Source organism: Homo sapiens, chromosome 9 (genome assembly GCF_000001405.40).
Source record: "Homo sapiens chromosome 9, GRCh38.p14 Primary Assembly".
Lineage (NCBI taxonomy): Eukaryota > Metazoa > Chordata > Mammalia > Primates > Hominidae > Homo > Homo sapiens.
This window is the reverse complement of record NC_000009.12, coordinates 62,907,007-62,933,369: the sequence shown is the minus strand read 5'-3', so window position 1 is coordinate 62,933,369 and position 26,363 is coordinate 62,907,007. Positions and strand designations below refer to the sequence as shown.

The 26,363-nt window shown below is 41.0% G+C and overlaps 1 pseudogene, besides 4 other annotated features; it reads right to left on the bottom strand.

Moving 5' to 3' along the window:
• On the bottom strand, positions 4,155-8,460 carry CNTNAP3P1 (CNTNAP3 pseudogene 1; annotated as a pseudogene).
• Positions 6,787-7,287: an enhancer, noted in NCBI's record as "H3K4me1 hESC enhancer chr9:66581907-66582407 (GRCh37/hg19 assembly coordinates)". NCBI's record gives its function as "activates a minimal SCP1, AML or CMV promoter by ChIP-STARR-seq in naive H9 embryonic stem cells {active_cell/tissue: H9 hESC(naive)}" and the evidence as "EXISTENCE:reporter gene assay evidence [ECO:0000049][PMID:30033119]".
• Positions 7,288-7,788: an enhancer, noted in NCBI's record as "H3K4me1 hESC enhancer chr9:66581406-66581906 (GRCh37/hg19 assembly coordinates)". NCBI's record gives its function as "activates a minimal SCP1, AML or CMV promoter by ChIP-STARR-seq in naive H9 embryonic stem cells {active_cell/tissue: H9 hESC(naive)}" and the evidence as "EXISTENCE:reporter gene assay evidence [ECO:0000049][PMID:30033119]".
• Positions 16,916-17,701: an enhancer, noted in NCBI's record as "H3K4me1 hESC enhancer chr9:66571493-66572278 (GRCh37/hg19 assembly coordinates)". NCBI's record gives its function as "activates a minimal SCP1, AML or CMV promoter by ChIP-STARR-seq in naive H9 embryonic stem cells {active_cell/tissue: H9 hESC(naive)}" and the evidence as "EXISTENCE:reporter gene assay evidence [ECO:0000049][PMID:30033119]".
• Positions 17,702-18,489: an enhancer, noted in NCBI's record as "H3K4me1 hESC enhancer chr9:66570705-66571492 (GRCh37/hg19 assembly coordinates)". NCBI's record gives its function as "activates a minimal SCP1, AML or CMV promoter by ChIP-STARR-seq in naive H9 embryonic stem cells {active_cell/tissue: H9 hESC(naive)}" and the evidence as "EXISTENCE:reporter gene assay evidence [ECO:0000049][PMID:30033119]".

The following is a 26,363-nucleotide window of genomic DNA, read 5'->3' as shown; positions in this document are numbered from 1 at the left end:
AATTTCTCATAAATTACTTATAATTTGATATTTACAAATATAATTATGAATTATAAGTTGATATCGTATTGTAATAACATTTTGTTTCTATAATCATGCCTCTTTTTAATGTGATTTTCTCATGTATTTTAATATATTGCAGAAATGCAATAACTGAAGAACTTGTTTTATGTACAGTGAGAAATTTGTATACAAAGTCTTCTACCATAATAAAAAAAATGAAGAGGAGCACCAAAACAAGTAATTTGCCAAGAGTCAGTTTTCCTTGGATTCGTATATTCCAATTCCCCTGCCACCACCCCACACAGACATGTTCACATTTGCCACCACTCTCTCACTGCCTGCAATGAGATCTAGTTAGCCAGAGTTGTTTTTCAGGCTTTTTCAGATATTATGTTCATGTTTTGACTTGCCATGTAGCATAGTTAAGGAGGCCTGGCTTTGTTTTCCTACTGTGAAAGGTTTGGAGAGTTTGATGTCCCACTGGGCTGAATGAATGACAGTCAATTCAACTTTCTTCCTCACGTAGGTATGCATAAGTGACTTCTCAACTATTAGAAAGTTACTTTTAAGTAGGATTCACTTGAGTAATAACCACCTTAATATTTCTCTTCTTCTCTTAAAAGGAAGAGAAACATTTGCCATATAAAATACTGTATATCTTATTCCAATATGTGGCAAATTTGATTTTTATTATTCATATGCAATACTAAAGACCCTCAGCAACATTTCAAATCAGAGTTTCACATGAAATATGTAAAATTGCCAAACTTGAACTGAAAGGCATCTTAATTTCATCATTGAAATGCTAACTTTTGCAATAAATATTTTGAATATTACTGAAAAATAAAAGAGAATGAAAGTTGGAGGGCATGTCATATTTTTATCTGTAGCTTGAACACTGCGATGATCCACCTCATTGCCATAATATTTTTATAATTTAATTTTCTCATTAACTCTCATTCACTTTAAAAAATATTTGCCATGTTGCACAAGGATAACCAAAAGATATTCCTCAGAGAAGGCACACACATAAATCAGTAAGCTTGGAGCTCATGTCTATTATGTAGTTTTGGAATTATTCCAAAGACTTGCATAGTTTGCTACGTTTTGCTGTAACAAGAACTTAGACCGTACTCCCTCCAGCCCTCAAGAATGCGATGTCTGCCGGGAGCGGTGGCTTCTGCCTGTAATCCCAGCACTTTGGGTGCCCGAGGACGGAGGATCATGAGGTCAGGAGTTTGAGAGTAGCCAGTTCGAGACCATCCTGGCCAACATGGTAGACCCCGTCTCTACTGAAAATACAAAATTAGCCGGGTGTGGTGGCGTGCGCCTATAATCCCAGCTACTCAGGAGGCTGAGGCAGCAGAAACACTTGAACCCAGGAGGCAGAGGTTGCAGTGAGCTGAGATCAGGCCACTGCACTCCAGCCTGGGTGACAGAGCAAGACACCGTCTCGTGGGGGGAAAAAGAATGCAATGTCAAAACTCATCAGACCCATCATATGTGAGTTACTGACCTCAACCACTGGATTTCAAAATACATATAAACATAAGAGCTCGATGAACACTTTGAGAACTTCAGTAAGTCTCAGCCACTTCTCCAAAAATGGAGAGCATATTCTGTGACAGGGTTGCCCTGCCAGTCAATTCTTGGAAGACTGAACTCATGCAGCAACAGAGCCCCACCCTGTCAGCAGCTGAGCTTTGAAGCCTCGCCTGCATCACTGGCACCACCCACTGGTGTCAAGGGACCCCAGGTGTCTTTGAGGATCTCCATGGTGTCAAGACACCATCTCTCCAGAGAATTCGCTTGAAAAAAAGGTGCACCTCAAACTTTCATTCGATTTGCCTTTCCACAGAGGCCTGCTTCCATTTCTACTTCAGGAACTAGACTTTAATATTTGGAACTCACTCCCTCTGTGGTTAATGTGCCTCATCTTTTGAGTGTATTCCCTGTAGATTTGTTCACATTATTCTTCTCCTTTTTGAGCATTGTGAACTTAAGAAAACAAATTCTCCTTGCATGGCAATAACCATGTGATTTGTGAAATCATACTTTGAGCATCTTATTTTAACCATACAAAACAGCGTGGCTCAGAAATTCAATGTGATCTTTCCTCTGGTCAGTGACATATCCCCATGAAGTGAAGCAGCAAGGCAGTAAAGGAACAGGGGTTTTAGTTAAGGGGTAAAATGGGTAATCTTCTTGGAAATTACAAGCAACTGAAGAGCTCATTCCAAAATATGCAGAAATCTCTGAAATCATACATACTTTTTATGTTAGCAAAACTTAAGTGCAAGGAGTCATAATTTAGGTTTATTTAAAGAATGTCTCCAGTCTTGAAATAACCTGAGTGATAAAATAATAATACAATCTTTACTTTTATCTACTTGTTTCTCTTTAATTTTACCACACTTAATATGACATAAAGTAAAATATAACAGTTCTTCAATACATATTTTTCAGAACTAAATAACATTTAAGGGAGATATCGTGATAGTCTTCAAAATATTTTCACCTTAGATTACATATCATTATTTTTTGGTATCAATTTCTAATTTAAAGCTATTTTTCCACTTAGGATCCTAGTTTTTATTTAAATTTTATTTAATTTTTATCTCCTCTTTTTTCATCTATTGTTTTACAGATCGCTTACAATAATTTTCCCTCAGTGCATAGAAAGGAGTGAGCTTGACAACCACCCACCCCCTTGAAAATCAATAGAAGTTGTCTTTTATAATAAAGCTCTCCCTTATTTACTGGAGAAGTGAAGCTAAGTATACAGATGCATCAGCCTGAGTCAGAAAGAGAAGCAGATATTGCTCAGCAGGAAGCCAGGATAGTGGGATTTCCAACTTCCTCTAGGTCGTTTTGTGAAAGGTGGTATCATTTTATGTTAAGACAAATTCCCAGAAATGTTACCACCCTACACACACACACACACACACACACACACACACACACACGGAGGCAAGGAGGAGGCTACTGTGCCTTGGGCACTTGCCTAGGCATTGCCTGAAAATTACAGATAATTGTCACTAACCAATCTAATTGCAACTGTTAAAAGAAATAACCCTCAATTCAGAGTATTTCCTATTCAAATGCAATACAATTTTTGTTTCTAATATATTAGGTTGCACAGAAACACTAAGATTGTACTTAAATATGGACTGAGGACCATTTTAAACATTACAGTAAAGTAGTGATCACAATTTCATCTGGTTATATTAAAAGTGTTCTGGAATGGTATTGGGAACTGATTTTTTTTTTTTGAGATGGGGCTCTCACTATGTTGCCCAGGGTGGTCTCTATCTTCTGGGATCAAGTGATCCTTCTGCCTCAGTTTCCCATGTGGCTGGTACTACTGGTGCATGCCACTGTGTCTGTCACATTTTTTAAAATCATAAACTGATTCTAAATTATAAATAAATCAAGAGGAAAGACAGAGGACTTACTATGGTGCTATCTTGACAACATCAAAGTAACTAATCCCCAAAAGTTTATTCAAAAATCACAAGTTGTTTCATCTTAGACCCAATTTCTGTACCAAATAAAGCCTATTATACTCCATAATGAAGAGTACAGATAATGAAAAGTACAGAGCCCAGTGATGCTTAAATGATGCCATGTAATCTAATAGCTTTGATGAGTCAGTTTCCAAGATATATAATTATATTCAAAGAGTTCTGTCTGGTTCTGTTGATACTACAATCAAATTCTTCCTTCGCTGCAGACAACACCTTGTACTTAAGCAGAAGCTGAGTCATGCCCCCCACTATACGCCTCTAACAACGGATATGTGAAAGTCTTAGAGCTAAATGTCTGAGTGGTCCTGTTTTATAACAGATCAATGGTTCCTGAAATTAGTATTTGCCTTCCAGGCTAAAATATTTTTTCTACAGTGTTCCAAATATTCTTGCATTTCTTAAAGTCATTGTCATAAATAGCAATGATGCTTTGATAATCCTGATAACAAACTACTTCCAAACTGCAGCAACAGAAGGAAAATGGTAGGATATACAGAAAATCTTTTGAGAAATCCAGAGAGGACTGATATTAGACATAACAGCAATAACCTGTGGCTTTTCAAGAAGAGAAGCGCATTTCTTCCCAATTAAAACTAGGAATTCTCGACAGATATAGTTCACTTTCAAGTGACTAGAATTGTCGCATTCCTTATAATGTCAAATGAAATATTCTTTGTTTCCTATGTTCACCGGCTCCTTGGTCACACTTACTATTTGAGCAGAACAGTCCATCATACATCGAGAAGGCACAGTCACAAGCGATCCCTCTGCGTTTCTCTCACATCTCCCTCAGAGGTGACACACTTGGCCATAGCTATGCAGTGTCCAGCATGCCCTGGCTCCACTCTTGGAGTCACTGTGGCTCTTTCTTTCAGATCCGGGATTGTCCCTTTCAACTGCAGAAAATGAATGCATTCCAGAAAGCCTGGGTCTGGTGGCCATTTCACCTGCAAGGGAAGCACTGCAAATACAAACACATTCCTTTGTGTTTTATTCAAGATTTCATCACCCTGTCAAACTGAGGCCTTATGGAGAATAGCAGAAACTGTGATCACTCAAAAGGTCTCAAGAACAAATATAATTTTGGAAACATACATTTAATGAAATGTTAAGTAATGGCAAATTACTTCATTTATTTATTTACTATATATATTCATATTTTACTTGACACATAATAATTGTACATATTTATGGGGTACAGTGGGATATTTCAGTAGATGTATAAAATGTATAATGATCAAATCAGGGTAATTAGCATGCCCATGACCTCAAACCTTTATCATTTCTTTGTGTTGGTAACATGAAAAATCCTCTCTCCCAGGTATCTGAAAAAAAAGACAACACACTGTTGTTTACTGTGGTTACCCTATAGTGCTGTACAACACTAGAACTTATTCCACCAACTAACTGTAATGTTGCAGAAGACAATACTGACCACATTTGTGAAATATTATTCTAATATGAATGATAATTATAGGTGGGGTTTTATGCTAACATAGCTGCCAAGAATTCCATAAATGAATGCCCACAATTGTAAGCGAGAAAACAAGATTATTCAATTTGGTGTGTGTGTGTGTGTGTGTGTGTGTGTGTGTGTTTCTATTCTCAGGCAGGGAGTTGGTTTTAGTTCTTTTTTTAAGAGGCCCAAACTCATACTACTGTAAGAATTAACTGCAAGTTAATTATTGCAAGTTGAAGTTATTTATAAGACTATGGTATGTATGTACATACACACAATTCTGAATTCACTGTGTAATATTAGTACTCAAAATCATATATATTGTACAGGAGAACAACCTGTGTGATAATTCATGAGTTATCTCAGTCTCTAATTGGACAGTACAATTATTTACTTTAAAATAGATTAGAAATCACCAACAGAGAGCTTTTTCTTTTAAACTAAATGCAAGCAGAGTAAAAAGAAATGTAGAGTAGAAAGAAATGAAGCAAAATATAGGTCTTCCTTTGGGAAAAAAGTCAAGACACAAAAGCAGTTGAAGAGGTGTCTTTCATTTCCTAGAGTGATACACATATTTAGCAGTTCGGTAATTTTTGTTTAACAGCCATATTGAGGCTTTATTGGCATATGATGAACACACATGCTTAAAGTGCAGGACTTGTTAAATTTTTACATATGTATACAACCATGAAACTATCATCACAATTAAAATAAGGAATATATCCATCACCCCAGCAAAATATTCTCCTCCCTCTTGATAACCCCTCCCCCATAACCTCCCTGCTTCCCTCAAATCCCTGGCAACCACAGATCTGATCTCTCTCATGATTAGTTTCTATTTTCCAGAATGTCATATAAATGGAACCACACAGTATTTACTTTTCTTTATCTGGCTTTTTTCTTTCAGCAGAATTATTTTGAAATTCATTAATGTGTAATATGTATCAATAATTCATTCCTTTTTATTGCTGAGTAGTATCTCGTTGTGTGAATATAGCTCAATTTGTGTGTTCATTCATTTGAAGATGGGCATTTGAATTGTGTCCAGTTTTCATCTGTTATAAATAAGCTACTATGACCATTTATGCACAGATGGTCATATGAAAATATCCTTTCATTTCTCTTGGGTAAATACCTAGACAAGAATAGCTATGTCATATGGTAGATATCTGTTTAACATTTAAGAAACTGCCAAATTGTTTTGCAGAATGTTTGTCTTTATGCCAAATTGCTTTGGTTGATTTTATTATGGTAAACTAAACTTGAATTACTGGTATAAGTCAATTTTTTGAAACTTTGTTAAGATTTTTTTGCATCTGTGGTCATGAAGTACTGTATTTTTACTTTTTAAAAATGTCTGTCTAGGTTGGGCATGGTGGCTCACGCCCATAATCCCAGCACTTTGGGAGGTCAAGGTGGGCGGATCATGAGGTCAGGAGGTCGAGACCAGCCTGGCCAAAATGACGAAACCCTGTCTCTACTAAAAATACAAAAAATTATTAGGGCATGGTGGGGGGCACCTGTAATCCCACCTACTCAGGAGGCTGAGGCAGGAGAATCACTTGAACCCAGGAGGTGGAGGTTGCAGTGAGCCAAGATCACGCCACTGCACTCCAGCCTGGGTGACAGAGCGAGACTCCGTCTCAAAAAAGAAAAAAAAATGTCTGTCTGAATGTGGTGTCAGAATAATGCTGGACTTGTAGAATGAGTTCAAAAGTATTCTCTCCTCTTCAATTTTCTGAATGAGTTTATGTTTATTTGTTATTTCTTCCTTAAATGTTTGCTAGAAAACTCCAGCGAAGCCATCTGGGCCTGGAATTTTTTTTGTGGGAAGGTTTTTAACTATAAACTCAATCTAATTAATAGACTATTCATGTCGTCTATTTCTTCTTGAGGCAGTGTTAGTAGTTTACATCTTTCAAGGAATTTGTCTTTACTTCTAAGCTGTCAAACATACTGGCATACAGCTTTGCATTGTAATCTCTTATTATGCCTTTTAATATATGTAATGTATGTAGTGAGATCACCTCTCTCATTACTGATGTTGGTAAATTTTGTCTTTTTTTTCTCTCATTGATGGCAGCAGCTGCAGCCATCATGCGGGCTACAGCAGGGAGGCATGGCTGGGCCTGCATACTCCATGAAGCTGGTGGGAGCCCCACCCCTTCTGAGTTGGGGTATGAGTTCCCTGGTGCGGCTGCAGACCCAGGCCTCCTGCTCTACGGAGCAGGCTGTAGCCCAGCCCAAACTGCAGCTGTGGATCCAAGCTTCCCTGTGCTCTTGGAGGGGGCTGGGAACCGACAGGATCTGCCCTCCTGGGTACAGCTGCAGCCACCCAACCCACTGCTGCAGACCTGGGCTTCCGGCTCCATGGAGCAGGCAGGAGACGGAGACAAGCAGAAGCCCCGCCCCTTCTGAGTTGGCTGGGTGGGAGCTCCCTGGGTGCAACTAAGGCCACCCTCCCAGGCACAGGACCCTGGCATCTTGGCAGCCTGCACCCGCCACCCCCTGCTGGCTCCGGGATGTCTGCTCTCACTGCCTGGCCTCTCTCCTCTTCTGGCACCCTCTTTAATCTCCCAACAGGGTTGGTCGAGCCCTGGGGACTTGAATGGCAGGGGGAGGGAGAGTCCTGGGCAGAAGCGGATGGGTCCCCAGTAAAGCCCCACCTTCAAGCCGGGGAGGGCCTGAAGGCTGGGAGCCAGACTGCCAATCCTGTGGACAGGACTGGGGATCTGTCCCTCCTCTGGGCCGCCAATGGCTGCTCATGGACCAGTTGGCAGGTACTTCTTCCTTTCTGAGGTCCATAAAAGCCCTGGGCTCTGCCAGAGAGGGCAGAGGACAGAGAGACGATGGGATGACCAGCTGCAGAGACGAACTCTCCCCTCTACTGAGAGCTTCAGAGACCTGCAGAGACCTCCAAATGACCAGCCTGCAGAGAGGAGCCACACTCGCCAGGGCCTCCTCTCTGCTGAAAGCTGAACACTCCACCGGACGACCTGCCTGCAGAGAGGAGCTACCCACTGTGGGTCTTCTCTGAGCTGTTCTAACACTAAATAAAACTCCTCTTAATCTTCTTCGCCATTCCTTTGTCTGCGTACCTCATTCCTCCTGGATGCAGGACAAGAACTCAGGCAAAGATGCCACTGTCCACAGAGGTTTCTGGGCAAGAAAATCGACACCCCAAAGATCCTGTAACATCATGATTGGCTGTCTCCACATTTACATCATACAATTCAATTACAAACCACTGCAAAGCAGCACTTATTGATGAAGAGCTGGCTCGTGAGCTGTAAGTGGACATGCCATCAGTGGTGGCAGGTTGTAGCTTAGTAACTTGAAATGATACTTTTTTTACATTCCTCTCTGCCCTCACGTGGTGCTAATAATTGTCATAAAAGGGAGTATATGACTCCACCATGACCTCAAAAGGCCTATTCCCCATCTTAAAGGAAAATGTCACTTTTCTGGTGCTAGAAATTGTAGATATGAGAGTTGCTCAAGTTCATTTATAGTGAAGAGAAGTTAGTAGTGTATTTATACAAGCCTAACACTATGAAATGCATATATTTATTAAATACTATGGAAGGAGCCAATGGCAGTGATCCAGAAAACATATGCTTTTCAGTTGAGATAGAAGAGCAAAAGAAATCTCTATTCCTATTGCAGAGAAAAAATAGTAAATATATTTGCTCATAACAACATAACTAAACTGTTTGTGGCTTAATAAATAAAAATATAGTTATTTAAAGGTGGTTCAAGGTTTCCTATATAATCTTCCATTCCCCAAATGTGAATTTGCACAGTAACGAATTAAAAATAAAACAAAGCAATATTACTTGTCAGTTCAATCAAATAACTTTGTAATTTAGCAGAAAATAAATTGCACCAGTTTGGTTTAAAGCCCTAACTACACATCTATAGTTTCCTTAAATTAATTAAAAGAAGTCATGCAATTTTCACAGAATATCACATGCATGTTATCCATTTTAATTTCTCTTAAAAATGGGTTAGTTGCCATTATCAAACTTTAGACAAGAAATCAAACAGATAAAGTAACAATGAAAGCAACTTAGACATTAGCTGAAGGGTTTATTCCTAATTGCTGAGTACCCATGCTTTATCCACAAAGGGTGATTTACCATTTCTATAAACTGATAGTGAGCTATCCAAAATGGAAATTAAGAATACAATCCCGGCTGGGCACGGCGGTCACGCCTGTAATCCCAGCACTTTGGGAGGCCGAGGTGGGCAGATCACCTGAGGTCAGGAATTAGAGTGACCAGCCTGATCAACATGGTGAAACCCTGTCTCTACTAAAAAATACAAAAAAAATTAGCCGGGCATGATGGCGGGTGCCTGTAATCCCAGCTACTCGGGAGCCTGAAGCAGGAGAATCGCTTGAACCTGGGAGGCAGAAAAAAAAAAAAAGAATGCAATCCAATTACAATAGCAACAAAAAACTTATAAAATACTTAGGTGTAAATTTAACCAAGGAGGTGAAAGAACTGTACACTGAAAACTATAAAACACTGATGAAAGAAAATGGAAGAAAACACAAATAAATGGAAAGATATTTTATGTCCACAAAGTAGAACAATTAATAGTCTAGTTTTTATTTTTAATTTTTATGAAAACATAATAGTTGTACATATTTATAGAGTACCTGTGATATTTTGATACAAGCATACAGTGTGTAATGATCAGATATGGGTAACTGGGATATTCATTACCTCAAACATTTATTGTTTTCTTGTGTTGAGAACGTTGTGAAATACAAAATAAATTACTGTTAACTATAGTTGCCCTATTGTGCTACCAAACACTAGATCTTACTCCTTCTATCTATCTAACTGTATTTTATATCCATTAACCAACCCCTTTTCATGCCCTCCTCCCACTACCCTTCCCAGTTTTTGCTAAACACCATTCTGTTCACTACCTCCCATTTTTTTAGCCCACACATATGAGTAAAAGCATGATATTTGTCTTCCTGTATCTGGCTTATTTCACTTAACATAATGTCCTCCAATTCCATCTATGTTGCTACAAATGACAGAATTTCATTCTTTCTTCTGGCTGAATAATATTCCATTGTGTATATATACCATATTTCCTTTACCCATTCATTCATTGATGGATACTTAGGTTGATTCCATATTTTGGCTATTGTGAATAGTGCTGCTGCAATAAACATGGGAATGCAGATATCTCTTTGATACACTGAGTTCTTATCTTTTGGCCATATACCAACTAGTGGGATTGCTGGATCATATGGTAGTTCTATGGTTAGTTTTATTGACAAATCTCCACAGTGCTTTTCAGTGTGGAGATTTCCAGTAGCTGTACGAATTTACATTCCTACCAGCAGTGTATGAGCACTTCCCTTTCTCCACATCCTCCTTATCATTTGTCATTTTCTGTCTTTTTGATAATAGCCACTTTAACTGGGGTGCAAGGATATCTCATTGTGATTTTGATTTGCATTTCTGTGATCATCAATCATGTTGAGCATTTTTTCATTTATGTGTTGGCCATTTGATTTTCTTCTTTTGAGAAATATGTCTATTCAGATCTTTTGCCCCTTTCAAAATCAGAGTATTTGTTGTTGTGTTTTTTTTTTTTTTGCTATTGAGTTGTTTGAGCATCATGGTGTATTCTGATTATTAATCCCTTATCCGATGAATACTTTGCAAATATTTTCTCCCATTCTGTAGGTTGTCTCTTCACGTTGTTGATTTTTTCCTTTCCTGTGCAGAAGGTTTTTCATTCGATGTAATCCCATTTGTCAATTTTTGCTGTGGTTTCCTGTGCTTTTGAGGTCTTACTCAATAAATCTTTGCTCGGACCAATGTCCTGAAGGATTTTACCTAAGTTTTGTTCTAGTAGGTTCACAGTTTTGAGGCTTACATTTAACTCTGTAATCCATTTTAAGTTGATTTTTGTATATGGTGAGAGATCAGGGTCAAGCTCCACTCTTCTGCATATGGTTACTCAGTTTTCCCAGCACCATTTATTAAAGATACTGTTCTTTCCCCAGTGTATGTTCTTAGGGCCTTTGATGAAAATCAGTTGGCTATAAATACATGGATTTGTTTCTGTGTTCTCTATTTCGTTCCTTTGGTGTATATGTCTGTTTTTATGCCATAAACATGCTTTTTATTTTTTATCACTGCAGCTTTGTAGTATATTTTGAAGTCAGATAGTGTGATGTCTCCAGCTTTGTTCTTTTTGTTCAGGGTTGCTTTGTATACTCAGGCTTTTTTGTGATTTCACATGAATTTTAGGCTTGCTTTTTCTATATCTGTGAAGAATGTCACTTGATAGGAATTGTCTTGAGTCTATAGTTAACATTGGGTAGTATGGACATTTTAACAATATTAATTTTTCTAATTCATGAATATGAGTTTTTTTATTTTTTGTGTCCTCTTCAATTTCTTTTATCAGTGTTTTACAGTTTTTATTGTACAGATCTTTTACCTCTTTGGTTAAATTTATTCCTAGGCATTTTATATTTTTGTAGCTATGGTGAATGGGATTGCTTCCTTGATTTTCAGATTGTTCACTATTGGCATATGGAAATGCCACTGGTTTTTGTATGTTGATTTTGTATTCTGCCACTTTGCTGAAATAGTTAACCAGTTGTAACAGCTTTTTAGTGAAGTCTTTAGCTTATCCTAAATATAAGATCATGTCATTTGCAAACAGTGACAATTTGACTTCCTCTTTTCCAATGCTCTTTATTTCTTTTTTAATAGCTCTGTCTAGGACTCTTTCACCACTTTTCAATAAAAGAAAACGATGTGATTGACCACTTTTCAATAAAAGTGGTGAAAGTAAATATCCTTGTCTTGTTCTAGATCTTAGAGAAAGGATCTTAGGGGAAAGTGAATATCTTTGTCTTGTTCTATGTTAGAGAAAAGGCTTTCAACTTTTCCCTATTCAGTACGATGTTAACCGTGGGTTTATCATATATGAACATTAATGTTTTAAGGTATGTTCTTTCTATACCTAATTTGTTGAGAGGGTTTTTTTTTAATCACAAAGAGGAGTTGAATTTTATCAAACACTACTTCTGTGTCTATTGAGATAATCACAAGGTTTTGTTCTTTATTCTCTTGATGTGATGTATGTGATGTATCACATTTATTGATATTTGTAGGTTGAAGCATCCTTGCATCCCTGGGGGAAAATACCACCTGATCATGGTGTATAATCTTTTTTCTGTGCTGTTGGATTTTGTTTTCTAGGGTTTTTTTTTAAAAGAGTTTTGCATTTATGCTCATTAAAAATATTGGCCTATAGTTTTTTTTGTTGTGTCCTTGTCTGGTTTTGGTATCAGGGTAATGCTGGCCTTAAAAAAGATTTGGAAGCATTCTCTCCCCTTTGATTTTTCAAAATAGTTTGAGAATAATTGGCATTAGCTTATCTTTAAAAGTTAGGTAGGATTCATCTGTAAAGCCATATGGTCCTAGACTTTTCTTTGTTAGACTTTTTATTACTGATTCAATCACATTATTCATTATTGTTCTATTCAGGTTTCCTGTTTCTTCATGGTTCAATCTTGGTAGGTTATATGTGTCCAAGAATATATCTATTTTATAAGTTTTCAATTTGTTGATGTAAATTGTTCATAATGGTCTGTAATGACCTTTTGTATTTCTGTTTTATCAGTTGTAATATCTCCTTTTTATCTCTGATTCTATTCCATTGAGTTTTTCTTTTCATTAGTCTACCTAAAGATTTGTTGATTTTGTCTACCTTTTCAAAACAATATTTTCATTTGGTTGATCTTTCATATTTTTAGTCTCAATTTTATTTATTTTTGTTGTGATCTTTAGTATTTCTTCTTCCTGTAATTTTGGGTTTGATTTATTCTTGCTTTTCTAGTTTCATGAGGTGCATCATTATATTTGAAATCTTTCTACCTTTTTATATAGGCATTTATTTCTATAAACTACCCCTCTTAGTACTGCTGCTGCTTTTGATATATAACATAAATTTTGGTATGTTGTGTTTCTATTTTTATTTGTTTTAAGAAATTCTTAAATATTCTTTTTAATTTCGTTATTTACCCATTGGTTGTTCAGGAGCATGTTGTATTGGTGCATTTTCCAAAGTTCCTCTTGTTATTGATTTCTAGTTTTATTCCATTGTGGTCAAAAAAGATACTTGATGTGATTTTAATTTTTAAAAATGTGTTGAGACTTGTTTTGTGGCCTAACATATGGTCTATGCTGAAGAATGCTCCATGTGCTCATGAGAAGAATATATACACGTTCTCCAGCTGTTGAATGACATTTTCTGTAAAAGTTAGGTTTATTTGCTCTAGAGTGTAGTTTAAGTCCAATGTTCCTTTGCTGATTTTCTCTTTGGATGATCTGTTCGGTGCTGAAAGTAGGGTGTTGAAGTCTCCTATTATTGAAATGCAGTCTGTCTCTCCCTTTAGATCTAGTATTTGCTCTGGTGTTGGGTGGGTGTATACTCATAATTGTTATACCTTCTTGCTGAATTGATCCTTTTATCATTATATAATAATCTCCTTTGTCTCTTTTTAGGATTTCTAATGTGAAGTCTATTTTATCTGATAAAAGTACAACTACTGCTGCTTTCTTTTGCTTTCCATTTGTATGGAATATCTTCATGTGTCCTTACGGGTGAGGTGAGTCTTTTGTCGGCAGCATATAGCTGGGTCTTTAAAAAAATACCTCATTTAGCCACTATGTATCTTTTAACTGCAGAATTTAATCCATTTACATTCTAGGTTATTATTGACACGTATGAACTTACTCTTGCCATTGTTAAAGTGTTTTCTAGTTGCTTTGTAGAGCCTTTGGTCCCTTCTTCTTCTCTTGCTTTCTTCTCTTGTGGCTTCATGGCTCTCTGTAGTAGTATGTTTTGGTTCTTTTCCTTTTATCTTTTGTGTATCCATTACAGGTTTTGCTTTGTGACTACCCTGTGGCTTACATAAAACATGTTATACTTATAACAGGTTAATTTAAGCTGATAACAGTTAATTTTGGTTGCATACACAAACTTTTCACTCTAACTTCCTTTTCTCCCATGTTTGATGTTTTTGATGTCACACTTTACATCTTTTTATAATAACAAAAATAACATAAGTAATAATTTCATATACAATAATATAAATAAAAATAATAGGCCTCCTCAGCCACTCAGGCCTTTGCTGCTCCTCCAGAGAGGGACTTGCAAACATTCAAAGAATTTGCACGCCATAGACAAGGCCAGGAAGAACTGTGACCGGATTCACAAGGCCTTCCCAGGCCTTACTGGGCATCCTTACCTGGTGCCCACAAACAGGGAGTACTTAGAACATATTTTCTGGTGCCTCTGATGACAGGCACTGCTTTGGACTGGAGTGGAAAGTAGGGCACCAAACCCATCCCTGGGGCCTTCACTTTCTAGCCAGATGCAGTCCCCCACCCCCAACCAGGGGTCTTAAGAAACTTTCTGGAGACTCATCGGGCCAACCAGACCCATGCAACAAGGTACCCTTCTCAGGCCTTCACACCTGGCCCCATCTGAGCAGCCCCCAAAGCCTTCCTGACCACTGGCTCCCACCCAGGCTCTCCCCAGTTCCATGGTCCATTCAGATTTGTCCTGGCCTCCAGAGAGGGGTTTAGATAAATTTTGCAGGGTGCCTCCTATGACCAATCCCCACTCAGTCCACCAGGTGGAAGGGATGCCCACCCTGGCCTCCATGACTAGTTAGGGAATGTCTCAGCTAGCTAATTGGGAAAGAGAAACGTTTTAGGGAGTGCTGTATGCAACTGTGCCCCACGCAAAACTGTAGCCATGTCAGAGACCCTTCCTGGAGGCTCCCTGTCCAGCTTTGACTGATCTCTGTAGGAAATACAGACATTCCCATAGGGGAAGTAAGAAACTCTTGGAGACATTAGTTGTATTTTTGTTTTCATGTAGTTCAAAGAATAATTTTAATTTCTGTTGAGATTTCTTCTTGACCCTTATGTTATTTAGACGTGTATTTCTGAATATCCAAGTATTTTGAGATTGCCCAGCTATCATTCTATTACTGGTTTGTATAATAGTTTCCAGTGTTTTCGGAGAGCAGGTATGGCATGGTTTTTATACTTTGAAATGTGTTAAGGTGGGCTTTATGGCCCAGAATGTGGCCTATCTTGGTGAATGCTCCATGTGAGAGTGAAAAGAATATGTATTCTGCTGTCATTACACTAAGTAGGCTATAGATGTTAATTACTTCCAGTTGTTTGATGATGCTGTTTAGTTCTACCATATTTTATTGATTTTCTATCTATTGGATCTCTCCATTTCTGATAGAGGGTGTTGATGTTTACAACTATGATTGTGAATTCTTTTATTTATCCTTGCAGTTCTATCAGTTTTTTGCCTCACATATTTTACCACTCTTGTTAGGTGCACACACATTAAGAATTGTTACATTTTCTCAGATAATTCACTTTTTGTTATCAAGCAGTGCCTATATTCATCCAGAATTATCTTTTCTCTCCGAAGTCTACTCTGTCTGAAAACTAATATAGCTGCTTCAGCTTTCTTTTAATTATTGTTAACCTTGTATATCTTTTTCCATTTCCTACTTCAAAACTATATGTCTTTGCATTTAAAGTGAGTTTCTTGTAAACAATGTATAGTTGGGTCTTTTTTGTGGGGGATCAACTCAGATGAACTCAGTCTTTAATTGGTGTATGTAGAGCATTGACATTAAAGGTGATTACAGATGCAGTTAGATTGGTATTTATCATGTCTGTTATTATTCTCTATTTGTTGTCCTGTTTTTTTCTTCCTATTTTTGCCTTCCACTCTTTTCCTGCCTTTTGTGGTTTTAACTGAGCATTTTATATGGTTCCATTTTCTCTCCCATTTAAGCATGTAAATTCTTCCTTTCTTTTTACTGTTAAAAAACCTTTCTATTGGTTGCCCTAGATTTTGGAATGTACATTTACCATTAGTACAAGTCTACTTTCAAGTAATACTATATTGCTTTATGAGTAGTGCAAGTATTTTATAATAACAAAATATTTCTAACTCTTCCCTCCTAGTTTATATCATTGCTATTATTCATTTAACTTATCAATAAATTATAAACATCTAATAACTATTGCTATCATTATTTTGAACAAATTATTTATTAGCTGCTATATCAATTGAAAATAAGAAAATGCAAAGTTTTTACTTCACATTCATATATTCATTTTTTATATTCTTCCTTTATGTAGATCCAAATGTCTTACTTTTCTCTTAAGAACTTCTTTTAACTTATTCCAACATTTCTTGCATGCAGGTCCACCAGCAACAAATTGCCTCAATTTTTGTTTTCTACAAAAGTCTCTGCCAGGCACAGTAGCTCACACCTGTAATCCCAGCACTTTGGGAGGCCAAGGCAGGTGGATCACTTGAGGTCAGGAGATCAAGACCGGCCTGGCCAACATGGTGAAAACCCACCTCTACTAAAAATACAAAAATTAGCTGGGCCTGGTGGTGTGTGCCTGTAATCCCAGCTACTCAGGAGGCTGAGGCAGAAGAATCACTTGAACCTGGGAGGCGGAGGTTGCAGTGAGCCAAGATCACGCCATTGCACTCTGCACCCCAGCCTGGGTGACAGAGTGAGACTCCATCTCAGAAAGAAAAAAAAAAGTGTTTAATTCTCCTTCACTTTTGAAGACTATTTTGTCTAAGGCATTCATGGTATCGCAGTATGATTCTAATTTGCATTCTCATGAATTTGCTATTTTCATTTACTGTTTCATCATGGACATTTTTCCATGTTACTACATGTAAGTCTCCCGCCCTGAAGAAATAAACCAAAACATAAATTAACGGTACTGTATAGATGTACCAGAATTTTTTAAACCTGGCTCCTCTGAATGGCTATGTTTTCTTTATTTTTTGTTATTAGAAGTAATGGTGAAATCAGTATTCTTATCACACATGTATTTGCACCGATGTTCCCCACACCCATTTGTTGTCATTTGACTTTGTCCTGGTACGTGCACAGATAAATTTTCTTTAAACTTTATGCTATCAAGTTAATCAATCGTGTCCTTGATGGCTTTCGAGTTGTCTTTGTTGTATACATGCCTTTTTATTTTTATTTTAAGAGACAGCGGTCTATTTGTGTTGCCCAGGCTGGTCTCAAACTGCTAGCCTCAAGCGATCCTCTCGCCTCAGCCTCCCAAGTCGCTAGGATTACAGGCGTGAACAACCGTGACGGGCTCTGTTCTATGCTTTAAAGATCTTCTCTGTTCAGAAATTTTAGAATTAAAGTGTTTTCAACAAAGCTTTCATGGTTGCAGTTTTTCATCCCATACCTGAGGGCACGGTATTTTCTAAGTCCGCTTGCGCGGCTCTGGAAAGCCCGGCCTGGCAGGGCGCCCGGCCCGCAGGCTCGCGGTTACATTTTCCACGGGCCAGACTGGGAATCAGGTAGGGAGAGTCTGTACTCTTCCCAGCAGTCAGCCTTCCCTTATGCTGCTGGGGACGCGTCGTGCTGACCCGGAGCTCGGAGAGGAGCCAGACGCGCTCCACCCACTCAGGTCTGAGAAGCGATCCGACATGGACTACTGCCATTTGCGCCGTTGTCGGGCTCCACCTGGCGGCCGATGTTACGTATTGCACTTGTTCTCTGGAGCTCCCGCGAGAGAGAGAAGTGGCCGCTGTGCACCAGCGTCGAGTTCCAGGATGTCCCTAGCGTTAGCAGGATTGTTCCGCCTGCTAGCAAAGCATTCGCTCCCCATCTGTTCGTGGGAGCTTGGACCTACAGCTTAAGGTCGGAGGAGGCTCTTGTCGCGCTCTTAGCCCTGGATGCTCTGTGGTGGGGCAACATGCGGGTCGACCAGCAACCCCCAGTGCCTGCCCCTCCAACACGAGACCTATCGGGGTCAACACGAACCATCTTGAAAGGGTGTTTGGAGGCCTCCCCGCGTGTGTCCCGATACCAGTACCTTCCATTTGACCCCATTTTCCTCAAGTTCTGCCTCAGAGGTGGGGACCGGCAGCTGTACTCAGAGGACCGCGGAGGGGGCTCCACCAGCCTGCACTAGGTCCCGCGTCGGTGCGCATCCTCAGACCTGCCTTTTCCGAGGCCCGCTTGGGAGGTGACAAGGGACTGGAGAAGAACCAGGTGCCCCGGGGAGGGCGTCTCAGATTCTGTCTGTGTGGAGCAGGACCCTGACGCCACGGGGAGGTTCCTTATGTTTTTGGCCTCTTCCCACATACCTTAACCTCTTCCCAAATACTGGGAACCCCAGGATTCATTTGGCTGCCGAAACTGTCCAAGCTCTAGGCTGCAGGCACCAACCTATTCCAGTATAGTCCTTTGCTCCAGGACACCTGGGCCGCTTTCCTGAGGGAAGAACATTCCCTTTATCAGGCAGAGACCCTGGCCACCCATGCCATTCACAAGCTGTTCCTGCCAGATCTGCCGGCACTCAGTCATCCTGGGCCATCAGGCTACTGAGTTCCGGGAGATGGTGAGTGCTCAGGGTGTGTGTGTGGCCGGCCAGAGGTGTCAGAGCCCAAAGTAGCTGGGAAGTAGCCAGAGGAAAGCCAAGTCCCCAGTCATCTGATGCTAACCTCGAACTTCTCATCCTTCTCCTTCCTCCTGCATTGCTCCTTCCAGGCATTCTTTAATCACAGCTGTATTGGAGGCTGGGATTCCAGACCCAGCACTAACAGGGTACAGCCACAGCTGCAGCATCTCACCGTGACCTAGAGCCTGGCCCAGCTACCCAACTCAGGCAGTTCATCTAGCACAGCATCCCTGGGAGGTGGCCACTGTGAGATTCACTTCGGATTAGGAACTGAGGCTCCAAAGCCACAAGTGACTTGCCCAACATCAGGTAGAAGGATTAGAATTTAGGTCTGCCAGCCTCTAAAGCTGTCTCCCAAAGAATAGACCATTAACCAAGGAGACAGGTTATTTCCAGGTAATACAATGAAGTAATGTAACTACAAAGAAGGATGAGTAATCATGGTGGGGGCAGGATGGGGGGGCTCTCCCTGCATCTGTCTCTTTTCTTCCTCCTGCCCCCAGGCCCAGCCACTGAACACGCTCCTGGACCTTGACGTGCTGGGCTTCCATGTTGTCCTGTCTTGGCTCAGACACCACAGAAGGATCACTCCCCTTCCGGTGATAATGGAGTTCTTCATTACTAAAGTGTGCAGTCATGAAATCCATTACTAACCCTGAGACTCTCGGGCAAGAGGTGACAGGTCAGCTAAGTGGGAGAACAGTAGCAAAGTATAATGGAATAAGATGGGGAGGCTTCCAATCAGAGAAGGACAGTAAACACAGACACAAGCTGGGTGGCCTCCACACCTGTATTCAGTCCCCCAAGGTACTGTGGGGAAGAAGACATCTGCAACTCAGTAAAATCACATCTAAATCCTTAAAAAGGATTCTTCTCCTCTATACATTAGTCAAAACCCTCATGGGTACTTTATCCAGATATGAACATAAAATAGTATTTTCTGCACATCTAATTAGCAACAATTCAGGACCATTACAATAGTCCAGGTGGCGAGGACCAGTGAGATCCTTTGATGCTTCTCTTGAAAAATGTACATGGTGCCATTTTTTGCAGCATCATTTGGCAATATGTATTAAGAAGCTGTAAAATGTTTACAGCCTTTGACCTACAAATCGTACCTCTGGGAATTTTTAGGAATATAATATTCAGAGATGCTGACAAAGACCTGTGTACAGAATGTTCGTTGCAAACCAGCTCTGTTCTATGCTTTAAAGAGCCCATTATTCACAATAGCTGAAAATTGGAAGCAACTTCCATGACCAATGAATAGGAAAAAAGTAAAGAAAATTGTTGGGGTCGGGGGACTCTACAATAAAAATCATAATACTTTCCAAATGTTTTAGAAAGAATGTTGATGCTACGGGGGAAATGAGGGAGCTTCCTAATGAAGCATATTAAACTTAATAGATCTCAAAGGCGACTCTCGTTTTCACACTCAAATATGACTCTTCCTTTTCTTCTCTCAGTGAAAAGCACTGAGATGGGAAAAGTCCCCAACTTCTCCCAGTTTCCCACGTCAAAAATCTAGAATTTGTTCTTGATTCTTTCCTTTCTCTCTCACTGGACAGCCACTGCTACAATCAGTCCTGCTGGGGCTGTTTCAAATGAATACCTCTGGGCCATCCCCTTCCCTATCTTCACCCTCCCACTTCCTCGTCTTCCTCTCCTCTCTTTTCCTCCCTCCTTGTCCCTTATCTACTCCCTCCCCTCCTTGCCCTTCTCTTCATCTCCCTTACCCTATTACTCCCTCCTCTCCCTATCTGCGCCTGTCCCTCCCCTTCCCACCCCACCTTACCCTGCCATCACTTCATTCTCACTAGGTCTCCTCTCTCAGGGATGACCCCAATGTCCTTCTGCTACTTGAGGGGCTCCCAGCTTCCTTCTTTAGCCCAGAGCCCCTTCTGTGCCCACAGCCAGAGGCCTCCCATGGAATGTAAGTCCTTCACTCACTCCCTGTTGGACTCCCCACAAGTGGATTCCTTGCTACTTAGAGCAAAACACAAAGCTCTTCCTGTGGAACTGAGCTTCGACTGGTGGGGGACATAAGAGGCAGCCACTGGCCCAACCAGCCAAGGCCTAAAGCTCGCAGAAGAGAAATTCTCATTAGCAGAATTTTCAGTCGTTGGAGCTGAGCTGCAGGATGTTTGAGTGTGGAGACCTAGCACAAAATGTACCAATGGGGGGCTGGTCCGAGTCTTCAGTCCCCTACCATGCTCCCTACCTCTATACTGTGTGCTCCTGTCACTCTAGCTTCCTTCTGCATGGAATGCCTCCTTTCTATTTTCTGTGGTCACACCTCTGCAGTGAGCCCCATGAGACCCACCAACTTCAGAAGCTGCCCCTGACACCTCTAGCAGTAGACAGGTGTGTCCTGTGCTGTCCATGCCCTTCCTTTGTACCTATAAGCTGGTGACTCTGTTCTATAAATAGTTAGGTCCCTGTCTCATCTTCCCAGCCGGACTGTGAGGTATTCATGGTGGGATCTATGTCTGATCCATCTCAGGGAGTCCCGTGGAGCTTGACCTAATGCCCGGCATGTGGGAATCCCAGAGAGGAAACAGCATGTGCAAAGGCTGGAGACCTGATGGCACCTGTGGCAATACGGAAGAGTCCATGTGTGTAAAGGGCAACAAAATAGAGCAGTATTAGATAAAATAAATATTCTTGAGTGCATACTGATATAAATAAATGATTAAATAAGTTAATGAATGAGGGAAAGGAGATAAATTTCCCATGCAGGATTTCAAATGAATTATGTTATATATTCCATCCCAAAGGAGAGCGAGAATAACTCCCCACTCCTTATGTGTGGGCTGCACACAGTGACTTATTCTCCAAAGAGGACGGTATGGAAGAGGGGGAAAAAGAGAAACTGCAGTGGAGAATCCTGATGAGCACTACCTCTGCCAGATCTTTAGTGATGTCAGTCATCCCCTTTTTATATTCATAATTTTCTCTTTTTTCCCAATCAATCCAGCTGGAGATTTGTCGTTTTCATTGATCTTTCCCAAAGAACACGTTTTTGGATTCATTGATTTTTTTTCCTTTTTTTATTTCATTGATTCCCATTTTGATCTTTATTATTCCCTTTCTTTTGGTTACTTTAGATTTAATTTGCTCTTCCTCATATATATTTTGAGACAGAATCTTGCTCTGTTGCCCAGGCTGGAGTGCAGTGGCACAATCTCGGCTCACTGCAACCACCACCTCCTGGGTTCAAGTGACTCTCCTGCCTCAGCCTCCCAAGTAGCTGGGATTACAGGTGCCAGCCACCATACCCAGCTAATTTTTGTATTTTTAGTAGAGATGGAGTTTCACCATGTTGGGTAGGCTGGTCTCGAACTCCCAACCTCAGGTGATCTGTCTACCTCGACCTTCCCCAAGTGTTAGGATTACAGGCGTGAGCCACTGCGCCTGGGCGATATTCTTCAATTAGAAACTGAGGTTGCTGATCTGAGACCCTTATTCTTTTCTAATACAGTAATATCATAAATTTCCCTTCAGGTACTGCTTCAGTGACAACCGACAAATTCTTTGTTGTTTTTCTATTTCCAATAACTTCAAATAACTTTCTAATATTCCTTTAGATTTCTTCTTTGTCCTATGAGTTATTTAGAAGTGAGTTAATTTCCAAATATTTGGGGATATTTAAAGGATCTTTCTGTTACTGGTTTTTAATTTTATTCCATTGTGGCCTGAGAACATACTTTGTAGTTGAATACTTTTTTATTTATTGAGGTTTTTAATGGGCTATAATGTGGTCTATCTCCATAAATCTTCCGTGCACAGTTGAGAAAATGTGTATTTTGCTTTTATAGGGTGGAGTATTCTATAAATATAAATCAGGTCAAGTTGGTTGATGGTGTTGTTCAAGTCCAATACATTCTTGCTGATTTATTGCCTATTTATTCTATGAAGTGTTGAGAGTGGGATTAAAATCTCTGATGGTTATCTCTATCTCTACTTATTGTTTTATTACTTTTCTTCATACATTTTGAAGCTTTTTTTGTTAGGTACAAAAAGACGTAAGTTTGTTATGTCTTCTTCATTAACTAACCACATTATCAGTAAGAAATAATCTCTTTAATCCCTGGTAATAGTCTTTGCTCTGAAGTCTATTTTGGCATTCGTATAGCCACCTCAGCTTTCTTTTGACTAGTCTTGGCATGGTATATCTTTTTCCATCCTCTTACATCTAACCTATTTGCATCTTTATATTTAAACTACATTTCTTGGCCAGGTGTGGTGGCTCACACCTGTAATCCCAGTACTTTGGGAGGCCAAGGCAGGTGGATCACCTGATTTCAGGAGTATGAGACCAGCCTGGCCAAGATGGTGAAACTCCGTCTCTACTAAAAATACAAAAATTAGCTGGGTGTGGTGGCAGGGGCCTGTATTCCTAGCTATTTGGGAGGCTGAGGCAGGAGAATCGCTTGAACCCGGGAGGCAGAGGTTGCAGTGAGATCGCACTGTTCCACTCCATTGCACTCCAGCCTGGGCAACAAGAACAAAACTCCATCTCCAAAAATAAGTAAATAAATAAAGTACATTTCTTGTAAGCAAAATACAACCAGCTTTTAAAAAAATCCAATCTGACAACCTGTCTTCTAAATCAATTTAAATGTAATGTAATTCCTAATATGGTTGAGTCTCTTATCTTGCTATTGTTTTCTACTCATCACATCTGTCCTTTATTCTCTTTTACATCTTTTTCTGTCTTCTTTTGGATTTACCCAATATATTTTTATGATTCCATTTGATCTCCTTTGTTAGTTTAATAGCTGTAATCTTTTGGTTTGTTATCTTAGTGGTGGCTCCAGGGTTTACAGTGTACACCTTTAACTGATCACGGCTGACCTTCAGGTGACAGTAGATCACATCATGTACAGTTTAAGAATCTGAGAATAGTAAACTTCCCCCCTTTTAGTCTTTAAGCTCTTATTGTCATCCATTTTACTTTTACATATATTATAAACTGCATATTACTTTATTTCCTAAACAATTATCTTTTAGAGAAGTTTAAATAATATAAAGTATATATCCATGTTGTTACTATTTCTGGTATAGATACACGATGTTACTATTTCTGGTGTAGACCATTTCTTTGTGTGGATCCAGATTTCCATCTGGTATTGCTACGGGATCCTTGAGGTATTACTTCATCAGCCAAAAGCCTCTATGGCCAGTGGCGCCTTTTCCAGAGTTTTGCTCTGGATCTCTGGTCTTGTTCCACCCACTCGGCCTGGCAGGCTGTGCTCAGTTCCCACTATGAGCCTGGATCGCTTGTCTGCCAAGGGTAAGCCAGGCACGGAGGAGCAAGGGGTGTGTGAGCAAGCATGGGGTCCGGCCACTGCACACAGCCAGGCATGCCGGCTGAGGGGGGATAGGCGATGGGCAGGCAGCTTCAGGCACTGGCACGGGTGCCAGCTCCATGCAAGGCTGCAGCTAGACCAGGCATACCATAAGCAGCTTCCACGGCTGACACCAGGGAATGTGGTGGTGCCCAGAACCCTGAAGATGCCAGGAACCCACAGAGCCCTAAAGAGGGTGTCACAGCCCTGGCTCGGAGTTCCTAGGTCTGGGCTCCCTGAAGAGCCACAGCTCTTCTCTTCTCTCTTCTCATTGCTTGCAATGTGACAAACAAGGGGCATGTTTCAGCGCTGTTTGTGTTATAGCTATTTTAGCTCCGCCATTCAGCAGGTCTCCAGTTCTTGTCCTGAGACCAGGAAGAATGATATATGCAGACAAGTGGAAGGTGAACAAGATGAAGAGGAGCTTTACCGAGAGATAAGACAGCTCAGAGGAGACCCGCAGTGGGTAGCTCCTCTCCATAGCCAGGGTGTCCTGTTGAGTACTGAGCTCTCAGCAGAGAGGGCAGCTCCTCTCTGCAGGCAGGTCATCCCGTTGTCTCTTCAGCTCTCAGCACAGAGGGTATCTCCTCCCTGAAGACTGGCGGCCCACCCCCTAGGCTTCAGCCCCACCCCAGCTTGCAGGTGGGGCTTCATTGGAAACCTGCTCCCTTCCACCCAAGAGCCTGTTTGCCTCCTGTCATTGTTCATGGCACCCACGTTATTCATGCCAAGGAGTACCTGCAGGCCAGTGCCAAGCTGTCCTCAGCCCCACTTCAGCCTCCTTCCCATGCTTGTCAGCCTCCACAGTCCAAAGGGGGCCAAGGGGCTGGCATGTCAGCACTACTCCAAGCATGCACACATGCAGCTGGGATGCGAAAGTGCTGAGAGAGAGACAGTGCCCCAGGTTGTGAACTGTGACAGGAGCAGATGCTAACAGTAAGGAGAACACGGACAGTGGGAGCAGGCACTTCCTAGCCTGCAGGGAAAGGGGTGCCTTCCTGGGCCCCCAAGAGTACGGAGATTCCTGGGTCCACAGCTGCAGCTTGGGTGGCTGCAGCTGCACTTGGGAGGGCGGGGCTCCTGCCTACTCTTGGCTCCCAAGAGCACAGGAGTGCCCTGGTAGCAGCCACAGCTTGGGTGGCTGCAGTTGCACCTGGGAAGCTCCCACTCTACCAACTTTCTGGCTCCATAAAGCATGCAGCCCTAGCCATACCACTGGTCTGCATTTTCCCCTTAGTGGCAGCAGGCAAGGTGCGGGTGGCTGGTGGCCTCAGCCAACCCCGCGCAAACAAACCCAATGCTCCTGGGGCCACCCCACAAGTCCTGGCTGCACTATCAGCTCACAGACTCCTGAGACGCAGCACACAGCGAGATTGAAGGCACGGCAGAGGTTCCGGGCCTGCAGTGGGTCCTGCCCAGTTGTGCAAGGGTCGGGGTGGTGCAGTCAGCTGCCTCAGGGATGTAGGGCACAGGGGACCCACCACTACCACTGCTGCTCCCACAGCCACTCCTGCCACCACCACTTGTGCCTCCATACTGCAGCTGGCGTGATAACAGTGGCTGCTCCAGATGGCACACCGCTGCCATTAGTATCGTTTTCTTTATGCCTGAAGGACATCCCTTAACTTTTCTTATAGTGCAGGTCTGCAGGTAGTAAAGTCGTTCAGCTTTTTCGAGTCTGAAAACTTCTTTATTTCTTCATCTATTATTCTCTTTTTGATGACCGTTAGTTAAACCAATCCATTGAACTTTCCATTTCAATTATGATACTTTTCATTTCGTTTCTACTTGGTACTTTCCCCAATCTATTTGGTTATTTTCATGCTCAAGTTATTTCAACTCCTTTATTTCTTTAAGTATAAAACGCACTTTGTACTGTCTTTGGTAACTTGACTGTCTTAAGTTTTTGCAGGCCTGCTCTTTCTGTCCATTGTTTCTGCTGGCTCTTGCCGATTTTACATTTGTGATTTTTTATTGTGAACTTATATTCCTTGAAAGTATCTCAGAGTTTCTCCAAAGACAATCCATTTTGCATCTGTCAGTCACCTAGAAGGCACCAAAAAGCTGATATTGCTTTAAATTTGAAGCTTGAGACATTTTAGACCACCCAGGTTGTGTGAACAAACCAGTTAAAGGGCTATATATATATATATATATATATATATATATATACACACACATAAAACTCTCAGGGGAGATGTTTTCTCTCAGGATACCCAATGTTCCTCACTGTTCCTAGGGAAGCAGGGGTCAAGGGAAGCATACAGGGGGAGGCGGACAGGTTTATTCATAGTTCACCCTTACACTAAGTCTGTCCTTTTGGATCTCACTTTATGATGTCTCCTCTTAGCCCCTCCCACTTGGGCAGGCCCTCAGCTTTGTCTGCTGTTCTGCTGCCCCTTTTCCACCTCACGCTGTGAAAAACAGCAAAGTTTAGTTTGACAGGCAAATATCTGAAGGGTGAAAAGTGGCATCA